Source organism: Homo sapiens, chromosome 18 (genome assembly GCF_000001405.40).
Source record: "Homo sapiens chromosome 18, GRCh38.p14 Primary Assembly".
NCBI classification, from domain to species: Eukaryota; Metazoa; Chordata; class Mammalia; order Primates; family Hominidae; genus Homo; species Homo sapiens.
The window spans coordinates 74,037,918-74,056,650 of NC_000018.10; the positions used below are offsets into that span (position 1 = coordinate 74,037,918).

Genomic DNA, 18,733 nt, shown 5'->3' on the forward strand with positions numbered 1-18,733 from the left:
TCTCCAGCCTTGCCCTCACTCTTTGAAGACCCCCCGGCCTTCAGTGAGCAAAGAAGGATGTCGTCACCCCCTGCACAGACTGGGTAAGGACTCTAAAGAAGTCCTGCAGTGTTCTCATCACTGCCCCCAAAACACAAAATAGCTGCCACTTTTCAAAGGAAATGAGCCGTCTACCTCTGATTTTGTCTCCCCTCCTGGCTGAGCCATCCCTCTTTTCTGGTTCCTCTCGGCCTAGCATATTGCCCAAATGGCTTGGCATCCATCCAACAAGGAAGGCATGAAAAAAACCCTCATAGCTAAAATGTACACAAAGTCAGAAGACAGGCTCTGTCCCTGCACTGAAGAAGGTCCTGGGGAGAAGCAGAGGTCACAAGCTCTCAGAAGTGGCTGTGGTTCACAGGCAGATGTCCTATCTCCATGCTGGCCAGGCACCCACATGAGCAGGAAGGTTTGAGTCTCGCTGAGTGTGTGCCCTGGGCCATGACATCTGGAGGACATGAGCCTACCAGGAAGTGGGAAGAGCCATCGAGGCAAGCAGGTGCCAGGAAACACCCAGGGCCAACAGTTGCCTGTGAAGAGGAAAGGAGATGGCAGCCCAGGAGAACAGAAGGGCAAGGTGTGTGGTCCATCACACTGAGATTTAATCTGCAGAGGTGACTGCACAACACAGACAGGTCAATGCCCTTGAAGGAAGGATTCTTACTTGCAGCTCCTAAGACAAGGGGCCACAGGATGCAGCACAGGGCCATGGGCGGAAGGAAGCATCAGGGCGGTCAGGAGGCAGCAGACGTGGAGGGAGAGGACAGCCCCATGCCCGCACTGTGTGGGCAACAGGAAGGAGTGGGTGTGGCAGGAGAGGCAAGTGTGAGCAAGAACAAGTCTAGGATTGGACAGTTTGAGTTATAGTGGACTCTAGGGGCAGGGTGATCCTCAGTTCAGTGCCTGGCCCTGGGGTGGTTCAGGGCAGGAGAAATGCTGGCTGGGGGTGTGAGAGGCAGATCAAGGACGTAGGTGGGATACAGGCTTTGGGTTGTTGGTTTTCGTATGAAAGGCACACCCTCAGGGCAGTCATTTGCTGTCTCTAGGAACTCGCCAGCCCTGGGAAGGGCTGTCTCATCCCAACAACCAAAGCTCCCAAGACGCTGAAGCATCATAAAACACAGAAAATAAAACCCATGATGAATACAGTGTGGAAATGTCTCAAATATCCTCTCAGAACTTATACATTTGATCAACTTTGTATCAGTGAGCCAAGATCATGCCATTGCACTCCAGCCTGGGCAACAAGAGAGAGACTTTGTCTCAAAAAAAAAAAATTATTATTCCCAAAAATAACAGAAAAAAAATTACTGCTCTGTGTATGTAATGGACTGGTATGGTTGAATCTGTGTCCCCGCCCAAATCTCATGTCGAATTGTAATCCCCAGGGTTGGAAGTGGGGCCTGGTGGGAGGTGACTGGATCATGGAGGTGGAGTTTTCATGATGGTTTAGCAGCCTCCTCCCTTGGTACTGTATCGCGATAGAGTTCTCACAAGATCTGGTGTTTAAAAGTGTGTAGCACCTCCCCTCCCCCTTCCTCCTGCTCCTGGCTGTGTAAAGTGCCAGCTTCCTGTTCGCCTTCCGCCATGATTCTAAGTTTTCTGAGGCCTCCCCAGAAGCTGATGCCACCATGCTTCCTGTACAGCCTGCAGAACCATGAGCCAACGAAATCTCTTTTCTATATATATTACCCAATCTCAAGTATTTCTTTATAGCAGTGTGAAAATGGACTAACACACATACTCTCTTCATGAATGCCAGATTGTTCTAAGAATCTACATGTTACCATGTCACAACCTGCTTAAAACTCTCATGTCCTCCCCTAAGGTTGAACTCTTTAGGAACACACACACAGGCCCTCCCATCCTGGCCCGATGAAGACATTCAGCTCCAACCCCTGCCATTCAAGAATATCACACTATTTGCCTGCGATCTCTATGCAATCATATCAAATAAAACCCTTACATTATCCCGTAGCACACACCAGGCAGTCGGCTAAGCATTCACAGGAATTACTTGATTTAATCCTTCAGACAATATGCCCATTTTACATGAAAGGAAGTCAAGGCCCAAGAGCTCAAGTCACTTGGCTCTGTCACATACTTAGGAAGTGAGGGTGTTGGATTTGAAGCCGGCCAGTGCCTTTTGGAGCCATGGCTTGAGCATTCCCACTCTACAGCCTCTCTGGGCCTTGAGCCCCTTTGTTCTCCCTCATATCCTTCCCTGGCCCCCTCACTGTGATTCACAGGGCCTCACTATCCCCTCAGCTGCACTAAACTTTAGGCAGGCTTCCTCCTGACTGTAGAGCCCGATTTCGCTTTTCCTAGAGCATTTACTTTAGAAAACTTGCCATTGTGATTCCTTTATCTGCCGCTTTGAGATGTAAAGCTTCCTCCAGCCTCTAGCCAGTTTTATAGCCCAGAATTGTCTTCCTCAAGGACCTGAGGGCCATCACTTTGAAATATAATCATCAAGAAAGATACCTCCTTGATTATGGTGATCATTTCACAGTGCACACAGATACTAAGACACCAAAAAGTACACCTTAAAGATATACAATTTTTGTCACTTATACCTCAATAAAGCTGGAGGAAAAGAAAGACAGCATCCTTATTCCTCAGTCTCTATGGGAAGGTAGGAACCTGGAAAACAAAGGTCACTTAGCAAGCACAGCTTTCCTAATCCCACGGACCGGCCTCTGCCCTGACATACTTAGAGCTTTCTACCCTTCAAACCACTCCTGCTTTTCGTCTCAACACAGTTGAGTTCTAGCGTGCGCGCGTGCTCTCGCACTCTCTCTCTCTCTCTGTCTCTCTCTCTCTCTCCTATTGCAATAGTCTTGGGTAAAGTCTTTCTGGCCGTTTTTAACAGGCCTCTAGTGAAATTTTTCTTCTACAACTTTCCTTTTCCCACCACAGAACAGTCTCGGTGATGCCTCCTCACCCCGCCAGCAGGGGGCAGCAGGCCTGCTCCACATGGCTCCCATGGAGGCCTTCCTACAGCAAGCAGAGACCACAGCAGGCAGAGAACACTGCACGCAGAGGCCACAGGGCACAGAGACCACTGCACGCAGAGACCACAGCACACAGAGACCACAGTACACAGAGACCACTGCACGCGGGGGCCATAGTACGTGGAGACCACAGCACACAAAGACCACAGCAAACAGAGACCACAGCACACAGAAGCCACAGCACACAGAGACCACAGTATGCAGAGACCACTGCACACGGGGGCCATAGCACGTGGAGACCACAGCACACAGAGACCACAGCACACGGAGACCACAGCACACAGAAGCCACAGCACACAGAGACTACTGCACACGGGGGCCACAGCACACAGAGACCACAGCACACAGAGACCAGAGCACACAGAAGCCATAGCACGCAGAGACCACAGCACTCAGAGACCACAGCACACAGGGGCCACGGCACACAGAGACCACTGCACGTGGAGGCCACAGCACACAGCGGCCACAGCATACAGAGACCACAGCATGCAGAGACCACAGCATGTGGAGCCCACTGTATGTGGAGACTACAGCATGCAAAGACCACTGCCCATACACCACAATACATGGAGACCACTTGCCCTCAGGACCATGTGCCCCATGGGTCTGCAAGCTCTCCCCAGACCAAAGCTTTCTCCTACTCTTCCTCTTTGAATTTTTCTTCCTCTTTTCTCAGCTTTCTGGCTTATATTCAGCAGAGTGCATACCACACTGTGAATGCTAGTAAGAGTGCAATGAAATGATCACATAAATGAACTGGAAAAAGAAAACAAATCTTTCAATAACTTATTTTAAATCAGAAGGAATGCAAACTATGAGAAGAGTATGTATTTTGTATGTATTACACTAGCAGTTTCTAGATTTTAGGATGAGATTAATTTCAGCTTTCCAAGGACATGATTCAACAGGATAGGAAAAGAAACAAAGCAAAAAGAAATAATGCCAATTCTTGCAGTAGATAAATTCCAAGCCTCTGTACCTGATTCCCAATTCTACTCTACTTTTCCCTTTTCAGCCGTGCTGCTAAGTAATACGCACAGACATAATTCTCTGTAATACACTGCTCAGTATAAACACGGAGAAATGATAACTGTATTAGCTGGACATTTATTATGGGCCAGGTGCTACCCACGTTATTTAACACAGCAATCTTATGAGACATTTTCTATCATTACACAGATGATATTTCACAAATGACAAAACTGAGACCCAGGGAACCAAATCACACATACAAGGTGACTCGATTAATGGGCAGCAGAGTGCAGAACAGAAGCAAAGCTGCCCCAGTGGCAAAAGCAATGCTCTAGCCATTGTCCTTGCTGCTCCACCCTGAAGGCCAACTACAAACAAATGCAAACCCAATTTGAAAGACTAGTAGTGATTTATCTCAAAAGAGACTAACAGATTTATCTCAAAAGAGACTAACACTCCTCAACTTTTTAAATTATCTGGTCTCTATCACATTTTTTTTCTTTATTCTGTGCTATTAAATCACCACACCAAAACCTCAACATAAAGTTATCTTAATAAGAATAATAAAACTTTTCTAAAAACTTAGAGGGGGGATATGTTTATACGGAGGCTAGAAAAACTTTTCAACTTTATAATGGCTTTTCTCTCAAAATATTTAAATATTTCCTTCTCTGAAGGTGTCAATGTGTTTCCTATTAAACTCTCTCTCTCTAAATTTTTTCCAATCTATCCATCTGACAAAGAATCTACAAGGAACTTAAACAAATTTACAGAGAAAAAACAACCCCATTAAAAAGTGGGCAAAGGACATAAACAGACAGACACTTCTCAAAAGAAGGCATACATGCAGCCAACAAACATATGAAAAAACGTTCAACATCACTGATCATTAGAGAAATGCAAATCAAAACCACAATGAGATATCATCTCATGCCAGTCAGAACAGTGATTATTAAAAAGTCAAGAAACAGATGCTGGCGAGGCTACAGAGAAATAGGAACACTTTCACGTTGTTGGTGGGAATGTAAATTAGTTCAACCATTGTGGATCACAGTGTGGCAATTCCTCAAAGACCTAGAACCAGAAATACCATTTGACCCAGCAATCCCATTACTTGGTATATACTCAAAGAAATATAAATCATTCAGTTATAAAGATACATGCACACGTATGTTCATTGCAGCACCATCCACAATAGCAAAGACATAGTATCAACTCAAATGCCCATCAATCATAGACTGGATAAAGTAAATGTGGCACATATACACCATGGAATATTATGCAGTCATAAAAAGGAGCAAGATCATGTCCTTTGCAGGGACATGAATGGAGCTGGAAGCCATTATCCTCAGCAAACTATCATAGGAACAGAAAATCAAACACCACATGTTCTCACTTATAAGTGGGAGCTGAACAATGAGAACACATGGACAAAAGGAGGAGAACAACACACACTGGGGCCTGTGGTGGTGGGGGAGGGAGAGCATCAGGATAAATAACTAATGCATGCAGGGGTTAATGCTTAGGTGATCGGCTGATAGGTGCAGCAAACAACCATAGCACACGTTTACCTGTGTAACAAACCTGCACATCCTGCATGTGTATCCAGGAACTTAAAATCACATTAAATTTTAAAAACTCTCTCTCCCTCTTTCTCTCTTGCTTACACACACGCACACACACAAAGAGCTATCCTTACTACTTCTCCCTATTTTCATTTTCATGTCTCCTAAAAAGAAACAAGAAGCATTTCAGCAAATTAAGACAGGCAAGCCACACTAAATGCCACAGTATAAATAGCCGTCATAAAATATATTTTAAGAAATGTGCTAATTACAGGACCCATCCAACCGAGGCTGTTGTATGATTCCATGCATAAATCCCGTGTCCACCTCTACATCCCTCAAGCCTGGGAGGCGGGCACAGGAGTCACCCTTTCCTCCTGCACCCTTAAGCACAAGCTTGTCACTTCCACATCACACAATAGAAACCACATGTGGAAGTCCAGAGCATGTGATAAAAACATAGTACCATCAACTGTCATTCTAATATAACTGAAAAAAGCAAAGTCAAAGTTTTAAAATGTGCTCACCCAATATTCTATCACAGAAACATGCCCACAACTCCTCTGGGTGTGACGCTCTTGGCCCAACCCTGGGCCACTGGCTGCTCCCAAGAAGTCTTAGTTCTCCTTCACTTATGAAGCTTAGTTTGGCTGGATATGAAATTCTGGGTTGAAAATTCTTTCCTTTAAGAATGTTGAAAAACACATGAAAAAATGCTCACTATCACTGGCCATCAGAGAAATGCAAATCAAAACCACAATGAGATACCATCTCACACCAGTTAGAATGACAATCATTAAAAAGTCAGGAAACAACAGGTGCTGGAGAGGATGTGGAGAAATAGGAACACTTTTACACTGTTGGTGGGACTGTAAACTAGTTCAACCATTGTGGAAGTCAGTGTGGCGATTCCTCAGGGATCTAGAACTAGAAATAACATTTGACTCAGCCATCCCATTACTGGGTATATACCCAAAGGACTATAAATCATGCTGCTATAAAGACACAGGCACACGTATGTTTATTGCGGCACTATTCACAATAGCAAAGACTTGGAACCAACCCAAATGTCCAACAATGATAGACTGGATTAAGAAAATGTGGCACATATACACCATGGAATACTATGCAGCCATAAAAAACAATGAGTTCATGTCCTTTGTAGGGACATGGGTGAAATTGGAAATCATCATTCTCAGTAAACTATCGCAAGGACAAAAAACCAAACACTGCATGTTCTCACTCATAGATGGGAACTGAACGATGAGAACACTTGGACACAGGAAGGGGAACATTACACACCAGGGCCTGTTGTGGGGTGGGGGTAGGGGGTAGGGATAGCATTAGGAGATATACCTAATGCTAAATGACGAGTTAATGGGTGCAGCACACCAACATGGCACATGTATACATATGTAACTAACCTGCACATTGTGCACATGTACCCTAGAACTTAAAGTATAATAATAATAAAATAAAATAAGAAGTCTTAGTTCTCCCTTTACATTGCTTGTCTGGCTTCATGTCCATTCAGATTTCCAAAATTCCACCTGGAATGGGAAAGGAATGAAAGGAGCACCAGTGCCTCCCACGTGTAGATGCAGGGCCAGCCGCCTTCCTCCCATTAGCTCTGCAATAATCCACTGCCACGGGCAGGTGTTGCTTCCTGGTGATGGCTGGAGAACTCAGGATCTGAAGTTAAAAATGTTACCCAGATCACATTCTAGTCAGTGACACAGCTACGACTGGGATCTGGATTTGTCCAACTTCCAAATGCTCATGCTTTCCACATCATCTCCTATTTCGACAAGTTTATCAAGCAGTTTCTCTAAGTAACTCAGATTTTTAAAGTGACTTTATTTCAATATAGCCAACACAGGTAGCCAAAGTGCAAAGGCTGGGGTGAAGACAATTTCTTGTGGGGCCGAAAGCTCCTAAATTAGTGCCTTTTAATCAGAGCTTTACCTGGCCAGAGCCTCCTCAGACCCAGCTGCCCATTGGCCTCTCTGTGCTCTCTCTGGCCCCAGCAGAACTCCTGCCCTCTTCCTAATGCCCGCCACCTTGCAGGTCCTGGCAACCAAAACCAAAGGATGGTGGCCCTTCCCCTATTTTCTATCACTGCAAAAAAATATATATATACATGTCATCAAAATTATAGGCCAAACATTAATTTACAAAGTGTTTCATTTTATCATCTCCAAAGCACCTGCCCATTGGAGATATCATTTTATTTATTCTTTCCATCTTCTTTAGGGCTTTCTGAGTCACACCAAGCAAATAATGGTTAGAACCAAAAGGACAAGTCAGAGAATGAAATGGGGACATGGGAGATAAAGCTATAAATAAAAAGCCTCAGAACTGTCCTTCACTATCCAAGACATCGATTTACTTTTAAATATTAAGTAGCAATTATCTCCTTGACCTACAAAAAGTAGAAAAGTGTTAAGGAACTTGCCAAGCATAGCAAAGAAAACAGCGTGGTACGTTCAGAAATATAAGCCATTAACAAGTCACTCACTAAGCCAAGTTGGGTTATGGTGGCAAAACAATAACGAATTTTCATTGATTTGTTCATTATGTAAATTACATTTTCACTGGGTATTTGACGTGTGCTAGGCACTGTGCTTTATCAGTGCTCTAGGGAGGAACAAGAAGCCCAAATATTTTGTCTGTCTCTACTATTCAGAACCATCTTTCATCCAGCAGTTGAATAAGAGCTATTAGGTTAGAGCTATTAAGTCAAATACTTTTGAAAATTTTCATCTAAATTTCCATCTTTTTTTCTGAAAGGTAGCATAGTGCTATTTTCAAACCCCTTTATGAGAGCCCAAAGTTGATACCAATGTCTTTGATATTCATTTCTAACAAGAGAGCAGCAGGAAGTGCACGGAGTGGCACTCAAAACCAATCCCAGTTGATGTATCCATTGCCTAACTGGTTGTGCAAATGATACATAATAACAAATGGCCCCAGGGTGGCTCGAGGACAATTGCCTTAGTTGGTAATATGGGACGGACGTATGTGTCCTTTCAAAATGCATATGTTAAAGTCTTCACCACCAATGTGGCTGTATTTGGAGTAAGGAAGAAACTAAGGTTAAATGAGGCCATGAGGGTGGAGCCCTGATCTGATGGGATTAGTGTCCCTATAAAAAGAGACTCCAGAGTTCTCTCCTTCCCCTGCCACGTGGGGACACAGCAAGAAAGCAGCTGCCCAAATCAGCTAGAACCTGATCTTGGACCTCCAGCCTCCAGAACTGTGAGAAATAAATGTCTGCTGTCTAAGCCACCTGATCTATGGTATTTTGGTGTCGTTGCCTGAGAAAATAAGACAGTGGTATTTTGTCATTCTTCCCATTTAAATCTGTAAGTTACAGCAGAGCTTAGATTACACAGTCGCACGTTACTGGTAACTTCCTCACAGCAGAAATTACCCATTGTTTTGCGTCAGTTCTAGTGTTACATAGAGTTAATTCTCTTCCATTCAAAGACTGGGTCACTCCTAATGTCTAATGGCTGGCAATCTAGCGTATAAAGAAAACAACATCAAGGAAAGTGATGGAAATGTTTGCAATAACATCACTCTCTTGTTGGCCTAATACATTAATATTTTAAAACTCTGCAGATGCTTCCTAGATCCTGTTTTTATATCTCAGGTTTAATTTGCATTTATAGTATCCTTTCCTCAGGCCTTCAAGTGTAGGGGATTGGCATGGAAGGGTGAGTTAGAAAAGAGTTGGAAGGAGGTCAGAGGTTAACAACATCCAACCACTTTTTTTTTATATGATCGTCTTGAGAATTGCTGATTAATTGTAGTAAATGAGATTGTAGGCGTATGTAATTTATATATTGCATATTTGGCCTTATTTAACTATACTGGTTTCTAAAAACTTAAATAAACCTAAACTTTATATGCATATATAAGTATGATCATGAAATTACTATTCGATATGTCTATGAAATATGACCTTACTAAGGAACACTATTTAGATATCAAAATTGAGCACAGCGATATGATGGTACATACTAATGATGGTTTTCCTTTCTGTATGAAATATTTCAAGCATACCATCATTCTTCATTGCTTTTTCATATTTGCCATATTGGTTTTATATCACTCTTTAAAGTATCCTCAGTCCCACTAACCCTCTCTCCCTCCCTTCCTAAACATAATCTCTCACTTGAATTGATGTTTATCATCTCCATTCATATGTTTAATGATTTTACTATAAATGCATGTTTTCATAAAACATATTGAGTGTTGGTTTTGAAGGTCTTAAAGTCTTACATAAATGATATCATACTGCAATGCTCTGTTTTTTAGATTTATCCATATTCATGCATGTGGCTCTGGTACATTCACCTTGCTGTATAATATTAACATTTTATGAATATAGCACAATTTATTCATTTTCCTGTTGACAAATATATAGGATGTTTCCCATTTCTTGTTATCACAAACAATATTTTTATAAGCATTTTTCATCTCTGTGTACATGTGCACAAGTTTCCATTGGCATGTACTTAGAAATGGAATTAGTAGATTGTAGATTATGCACATTTTGAACTTTATTAGAGAATGCAAAATTATTTTACAAAGTGGTTATACCAGTTTGTACTCCCATCACAGGGCATGTGAGTTTTTATGCTCCACATCCTAACACTTGGAATTGTCAGATTTTTACATTTTTGCCAGTTGAAGAATGTGAAACGGAATCTCACTTGGGTTTTAATGTGAACTTCTCTGAGGACTAGTGATGTCGATTATTTTCATGTTGGTTCCTCTCCTGTGACTTGTTTGTTCATATTCTTTATCATCTTCCTAGTGAGTTTCTGGTCTGCAGCTTACTGCTTTGAAGGAGTTTGGGGTTTTTAAAGTTATTCTCAACACCGCTCATTTATCAGTTATAGGTTTTACAAATATCTCTCATTCTGTAGTTTATGTATGGAAATTTTTGTTTTAAATATAGACAATTTGATGTGCATTCTTCCCATGGCTTGTGTTTTTTGTGTCTTTATTTAAATCCCTCCCTATACTGGGATTAGATATTCTCCAATATTTTCATCTCAAATTTGAAATTTTGCTTATATCTTTACCTGGAATGTATCTCAGCGTATGGTGTAAAGTAAAAGCCTAATTTTAATATTTTGCATATGGATATCCAATTTATTAAATGGTCTATCATTTCCATCTAATTGATAATGCTACTTTGCTGTAAATTGTTACCATTATGCATGACTTGGTTTATAAAGCAACGTTTACCCTCGAGCTACGTCTTGAAAGTATGCCCTCCACACTGTTCTTCAGAATCGTCTTCTCCATTCTTAGTCCTGTAGTTTTCCAAGTGTTTTAATTCACTTATTAAATAAAAAAACTCTTTAGCAATCAGATTGCAGTGATATTGTATTTGTAGATTTAGTGGGAACAGACATTGCTAGAGCCTTTCCATCTATGAAAATGGTAACTCTCCATTTATTTACATTTTTGTCTGTGGCTTTTGAGAAAGTTGTAAATTTTCTCCATAAAGGTTTTATATGTCCTTTGTTGAACTTGTTCCCAAGTACCATAGAGTTATCTATCTTTGTTTCAGTCAGGCTTTTTGGCAATTATAAATACCATATTATTTAGTTTAACTTTCTGATTGGTGGGTTTTTAACGGAATTAAATTGATTTTCATACATACATATTTTATCCAGAATTCTTACTGAACTTTCTTATTTTAAAACTTGTCAATAGGTTAGTTTCGGGTGTCGATATAGAAAATCACATCATTTGCAATTAACAGCTTAGTTACTTCTAATTCTTATGCATTTTTTCTCTTTACAAACTTACTGCACTGTCCACGGACCCCATCAAAGCCATTTGTATAAAGTTCACAAACAGAAGAAACTGAAACACTTAGGAATGCATAGTAAGATAATGAAAGTATGAAGAGGCTGGGCGCGGTGGCTCACATCTGTAATCCCAACACTTTGGGAGGCCAAGGCTGAGGGATCATGAGGTCAGGAGTTTGAGACCAGCCTGACCAACATGGTGAAACCCCGTCTCTACTAAAAATACAAAAATTAGCTGGGCATGGTGGCACGTGCCTGTAATCCCAGCTACTCAGGAGGCTGAGGCAGGAGAATCGCTTGAACCCAGGAGGCAGAAGTTGCAGTGAGCCGAGATCGGGCCACTGCACTCCAGCCTGGGCAACAAAGTAAGATGCTGTCACAGAAAAAAAAAAAAAAGAAAGAAAAAAGAAAATAAACTATGAAGAAAAGTAAGCACATAATATCCTGAAAGCCAGGATAATGTTTATCTTTATGGAAATAATTCATCTCAGTATTGGAATAAAATATTTGGCAACATATTTAGAAAGGTCACTTCCCCCAATGGAAAGAAAGTGGATTTAACTATTTTCACCAAATTCTAATATTCTGTGAGAGAGTGTAGGAATGCAATGTATTAGGAAAATTATTTGCTCTTTTAGCCAGGAGTCATCTATCAATACCTTACTTTATATTTTCCATGCTGCTTAGCTGCATCTCAGTTTTTATTTTAAATAGTACTACTGCATGGTCTCAATTGGCCTTTATCTTGTATTTGAAATTGTACAGCAAACAAGTGAAAACTGTCATCCCCATAGGTCAGACTTAACTATCAATTTCTATTTTTACTTCTCATAAGACAGATAAGCTCTCTAACTAATCATCCCTTCTTCCCTGCTCTACATTGTCTGCAGAGTTGGTGGATTGGAAGGTAATTCTACAAATGACAGAAGTAGGAACATCATATCTAAGATTCATAGATTAATAAAAGGAGGCTTATCCCACTGTTTCTTAGGTGAATTCCATCCCAATTATACAGGTTCTTCAGAGATCTCAGCTCTGGCTAAGGAATTATACTAAAGCTACATCCCCAAAACTAAGCTATTAACTTCTCTGGACACAGGCAGCTATAAAATGTCCTACGGGCAGAGACTTGGGCACAATTTCTAGTATTCATCTGACTCTAAAAATAACTTGCCTAATTATATAAACATAGTACTGCTTTTCTAATGGATATTAGCGGTTTAATTATTTGAGTCAAGTCAGAAGAAGATGTGTAATTGCATTCACTGCCACAAACTTGCTTGGATTCAACATTTGTTGACTGTCTGCTACATGAAGGATGACATCAGTTCATTACTGCAATTTCTCTCCCTTGGCAAACTGTAATGAACTATGAAGCTTCATCAATTCAACGTGTTCTCTTTGTGGGCTTTATTTAGCATGCCAACTTGATCAGCAAGATTCTCTTCTAAATGACATCCTAAAGGTCCTTCTGAAAGTGAACCTCAAAGTTAGAAGCAGGACATATAACATCATTGACTCCCTCTCTAGTGCCCAGATGGTTACAATAAACACTCTAACCTTCATGCAGTCACAATGCTTGTAACTTTCTAAAATTGAACGTTTTCAGCTGCATCCCGCCTTCCTCATCCACACATCCACCGTCTTCCTTTAGACACATGCCAGGGGAGTTGCTGAGGAGGAGGGAAAGAACTACACTGCGGCATCCAGCACCATCTGCAGCTGCTTGTTATATATGCATTGGATTTCTGATCCCAGGATAGGCATAGCTGACTTCCTCTCATGTGGAGCCATTTCTCTAAGATTCCAACATGGCAAGTGAAAAAAACAGAATCATGAACCCATTTTTAATTCATAGAAAGTGTCTATTTCCTCGCCGCAAGTTGCCCAGGAACTTTAATTTGGGCTCTGAAAATTTAGGCCTTATCTTAAAGTTAAATAGACAGTGATGGTTGAAAACAGTGAAATTACTATTGAATCACAGACAGATCTTATTATAGAGTGTGATAGAGTAAATACTGTAGGGAGACAGGTAATAATTTACACCTGTTATGTACTCAGTAAATATTTGTTGAATGTAATAACTTGGGAAGGAGTGTGAATAAAAGCAGTTCTTTTCACTCGCTCCTAGCTGTAGTTTCTCCTGTGTTTCTCAGTATTGAACCCTGTCCTCCAACAGACTTTCTAAGGACATGCATTAGCCCCACAAGGGATTCTCCTCTCATTACAATGTGATTTGTCATTCTGTACACTGCACCAATGGGAGAGTGAGCACACAATTATCTACCTCAGGGTGAAATCCTGATGGCCTTGATTTAAGGTTCAGAACTCTTATGGAATATTTTCCCAGAAAATTAGCCCTGTTAATGTTTCTGGAGGAAAGAGAGGAGACAGGGAGTGTGCAGACACAATATATCTTTGTGCATTAAGAGTGTTACTGTGTGTTTGTCATTGCAAGCTAGTAAATCCACACTCTACTCTATCACCCTGCAAGTTTTTATACAGGGACGAGTACTGCTGAGTTGCATTCTACTTGTACTACATCAGAAACTGTTATTTTCATCCCTCATTGATTTCTTTGGAGAACTCCATTTTGGGTTGTAGGACATGAAGATTGTTATCATATTAAGAAGTGTAGAGTTGCTTACTCAGAGAGTAATATCATTGCTCAGCATGGAATGCCAGGATAAACAACAGTAACCTTTTGGCATTGATCACCTGGGATGTCCCGCAGGCAGGCAGCATATTCCCAAGTCCAAGGCAGGATGGTTCCTGTCCTGCAGTCAGTGCTGCTCCGTCTGACCGCTAAGAGATCCATAGATTCCTTAGCTCAGACAGAGTGCTGCCTCTGCCCACACTAAGATCACAGTTTCAACAGTCCCTGGGTTAGGTTGTGTGAGTCTTGAAGGCAGTGAGGATCTGGGCTATCCCCCATGTATACAGAACAATGCCTTTTATACCCTAGGAACTTAATGAGAGTTTTGTACATGAATGAATGAACGCATGAATGTAGACCCCATAGACACATTTTCTGCTGTGTAGCTCCTTCTGCTAGCTGCAGTTTCTCAGGGAGATGGACACACATCACCTGGTTGATTCAGGGCAGATACAAACAGGGAAAGTCTTCCCGCCCTGACCAAATATCTGTCATTACCCTGGAGTCTGTCATCTAGTCATGACTTTCAAAGGGGGATATTAATCTATTTCAATGAGCACTTTCTGAGTAAGTCTTTTTTATGAGCAAAGGAACATGTTTTGGGGACACAATGGTGAATACAAACTCACCCATCCTGCACCAGGGTATAAACCTTCTTCCCCAAGCGTCTGCCTCTCCTGGTTTAGGCTCTCTCAGGGCCATTTCTCACTGGGCTCCCCACCACTCCCCTGACCCCTGTCCTGACTATGCCCCACCTCACTCCTCTCACCCTATATGTGGATGAAGAGTTATTTCCTAAAGCGGGGACATCCTTTTGACCTTTCCTCTGCTTTGATTCCAGATTCTCTGGTGACTCCTGAGCTGTGAGAGGCGGATGGGAGACTCCAGGGTTCTCAGCACTGGGCCTGACGGCCAGTGGCACCATCCAGGGACCTGCTGGAAATTCAGATTCTGATGTCCGGACAAGATGGCCAAATAGGAACAGCTCAGGTCTGCAGCTCCCAGTGAGACTAATGCAGAAGGTGGGTGATTTCTGCATTTCCAACTGAGGCACCGGGTTCATCTCATTGGGACTGGTTAGACAGTGGGTGCAGCCCATGGAGGGTGAGCAGAAGCAGCGTGGGACGTCACCTCACCTTGGAAGTGCAAGGGGTCAGGGAACTCCCTCCCCTAGCCAAGGGAAGTCATGAGGGACTGTGCCATGAACGACAGTGCTATTTAGCCCAGACACTATGCTTTTCCCACAGTCCTCACAACTCACAAACCAGGAGATTCCCTCGGGTGCCTACACCACCAGGGCCCTGGCTTTCAAGCACAAAACTAGGCGGCCATTTGGGCAGACACTGACCTAGCTGCAGGAGTTTTTTTTCGTACCCCAGTGGCACCTGGAACACCAGCAAGACAGAACCTTCACTCCCCTGAAAAGGGGGCTGAAGCCAGGGAGCTGAGTGGCCTTGCTCAGTGGATCCCACCCCCACAGAGTCCAACAAACTAAAATCCACTGGCTTGAAATTCTCACTGCCAGCACAGCAGTCTGAAGTCGACCTGGGACACTCTAGCTTGGCGAGGAAAGGGGCATCTGCCATTACTGAGGACTGATAGGTGGTTTTCCCCTCACAGTGTAAACAAAGCCACCTGGAAGTTCAGACTGGGTGGAGCCCACCACAGCACCACAAAGCCACTGCAGCCAGACTGCCTCTCTAGATTCCTCCTCTCTGGGCAGGGCATCTCTGAAAGAAAGGCAGCAGCCCCAATCAGGGGCTTATAGATAAAACTCCCATCTCCCTGGGATAGAGCACCTAGGGGAAGGGGTGGCTGTGGGCGCAGCTTCAGCAGACTTAAACATTCCCGCCTGCCAGCTCTGAAGAGAGCAGCGGATCTCCCAGCACAGCGCTCGAGCTCTGCTAAAGGATAGACTGCCTCCTCAAGTGTGTCCCTGACCCCCGTGCCTCCTGATGGGGAGACAGACACCTCCCAGCAGGGGTCGACAGACACCCTATAAAGGAGAGCTCTGGCTGGCATCTGGCAGGTGCCCCCTTGGGACTACGCTTCCAGAGGAAGGAGCAGGCAGCAATCTTTGCTGTTCTGCAGCCTCTGCTGGTAATACCCAGGCAAATAGGGTCTGGAGTGGACCTCCAGCAAACTCCAGCAGACCTGCAGAAGAGGGGACTAACTGTCAGAAGGGAAACTAACAAATAGAAAGGAATAGCATCAACATCAACAAAAAGAACAATCACGCAAAAACCCCTTCCAAAGGTCACCAACATCAAAGACCGAAGGTAGATAAATCCATGAAGATGAGGAAAAACCAGTGCAGAAAAGGCTGAAAATTCCAAAAATCAGAATGCCTCTTCTCCTCCAAAGGATCATAACTCCTTGCCAGCAAGGGAAAAAACTGGACAGAGAATGAGTTTGACAAATTGACAGAAGTAGGCTTCAGAAGGTGGGTAATAACAAACTTCTCAGAGCTAAAGGAGCATGTTCTAATCCAACGCAAGGAAGCTAAGAACCTTGATATAAGGTTACAGGAACTGCTAACTAGAATAAGCAGTTTAGAGAAGAACATAAACGACCTGATGGAGCTGAAAAACACAGCACAAGAACTTTGTGAAGCATATACAAGTATCAATAGCTGAATTGATCAAGCAGAAGAAAGTATATCAGAGATCAAAGATCAACTAAATGAAATAAAGTATGAAGACAAGATTAGAGAAAAAGGAATGAAAAGGAATGAACAAAGCCTCCAAGAAATATGGGACTATGTAAAAAGACCAAACCTATGCTTGATTGGTGTACCTGAAAGTGACAGGGAGAATGGAACAAAGTTGGAAAACACACTTCAGGATGTTATCCAGAACTTCCCCAACCTAGCAAGATAGGCCAACATTCAAAATTCAAAAAATACAGAGAACACCACAAAGATACTCCTCGAGAAAAGCAACCCCAAGACACATAATCATCAGATTCATCAAAGTTGAAATGAAGGAAAAAAAATTTTAAGAGCAGCCAGAGAGAAAGGTCGGGTTACCCACAAAGGGAAGCCCATCAGACTATAAGCCAGAAGAGAGCGGGGGCCAATATTCGACATTCTTAAAGAGAAGAATTTTCAACCCAGAATTTTATATCCAGCCAAAGTAAGCTTCATAAGTGAAGGAGTAATAAAATCCTTTACAGACAAGCAAATGCTAATGGATTTTGTCACTACCAGGCCTGCCTTACAAGAGCTCCTGAAGGACGCACTAAATATGGAAAGGAAAAACCGGTACCAGCCATTGCAAAAACATACCAAAATGTAAAGACCCATTGACACTATGAAGCAACTGCATCAACTAATGGGCAAAATAACCAGCTAGCATCATAATGACAGGATCGAATCCATACATAACAATATTAACCTTAAATGTAAACAGGTTAAATGCCCCAATTAAAAGACACAGACTGGCAAATTGAATAAAGAGTCAATATCCATCAGTGTGCTGTATTCAGGAGACCCATCTCATGTGGAAAGACACACATAGGCTCAAAATAAAGGGATGGAGGAAGATTAACCAAGCAAATGGAAAGCAAAAAAAAGCAGGGATTGCAGTCCTAGTCTCTGATAAACCAGAGTTTCAACCAACAACAACAAAAAAAGACAAAGGGCATTACATAATGGTAAAGGGATCAATGCAACAAGAAGAGCTAACTATCCTAAATACATATGCACCCGATACAGGAGCACCCAGATTCATAAAGCAAGTCCTTAGAGACATAAAAAGAGACTTAGATACCCACACAATAATAGTGGGAGACTTTAACACTCCAATGTCAATATTAGACAGAATGACGAGACAGAAAATTAACAAGGATATTCAGGACTTGAACTCAGCTCTGGACCAAGCAGACCATCTACAGAACTCTCCACCACAAATCAACAGACTATACATTCTTCTCAGCACCACATCACACTTATTCTAAAGTAGACCACATAATTGGAAGTAAAACACTCCTCAGCAAGTGCAAAAGAATGAATCATAACAAACAGTCTCTCAGACCACAGTGCAATCAAATTAGAACTCAGGATTAAGAAACTCACTCGAAACCACACAACTACATGGAAACTGAACAACTTGCTCCTGAATGACTACTGGGTAAATAACAAAATTAAGGCAGAAATAAATAAGTTCTTTGAAGCCAGTGAGAACAAAGACACAATGTACCAGAATGTCTGAGACACAGCTAAAGCAGTGTTTAAAGGGAAATTTATAGCACTAAATGCCCACAGGAGAAAGCAGGAAACATCTAAAATTGACACCCTAACATCACAATTAAACGAACTAGAGAAGCAAGAGCAAACAAATTCAAAAGCTAGCAGAAGACAAGAAATAACTAAGACCAGAGCAGAACTGAAGGAGATAGAGACATGAAAAACCCTTCAAAAAAAATAAATGAATCCAGGAGCCGGTTTTTTGAAAAGATTAACAAAATAGATAGACTGCTAGCCAGATTAATAAAGAAGAAAAGAGAGAAGAATAAAATAGACACAATAAAAAATGATAAAGGGGATATCACCACTGATCCCACAGAAATACAAACTACCATCAGAGAATACTATAAACACCTCTACGCAAATAAACTAGAAAATCTAGAAGAAACTGATAAATTCCTGGACAC

At 42.1% G+C, this 18,733-nt stretch overlaps 3 annotated features.

Moving 5' to 3' along the window:
• Positions 2,877 to 3,171: an enhancer, noted in NCBI's record as "tiled region #9472; HepG2 Activating non-DNase unmatched - State 12:CtcfO, and K562 Activating non-DNase unmatched - State 12:CtcfO". NCBI's record gives its function as "activates a minimal TATA promoter and a strong SV40 promoter by Sharpr-MPRA in HepG2 and K562 cells {active_cell/tissue: HepG2 | K562}" and the evidence as "EXISTENCE:reporter gene assay evidence [ECO:0000049][PMID:27701403]".
• Positions 2,877 to 3,175: a biological region, named in NCBI's record as "Sharpr-MPRA regulatory region 9472".
• Positions 3,046 to 3,175: an enhancer, noted in NCBI's record as "active region_13490". NCBI's record gives its function as "activates an Ori minimal core promoter by ATAC-STARR-seq in GM12878 lymphoblastoid cells {active_cell/tissue: GM12878}" and the evidence as "EXISTENCE:reporter gene assay evidence [ECO:0000049][PMID:35858748]".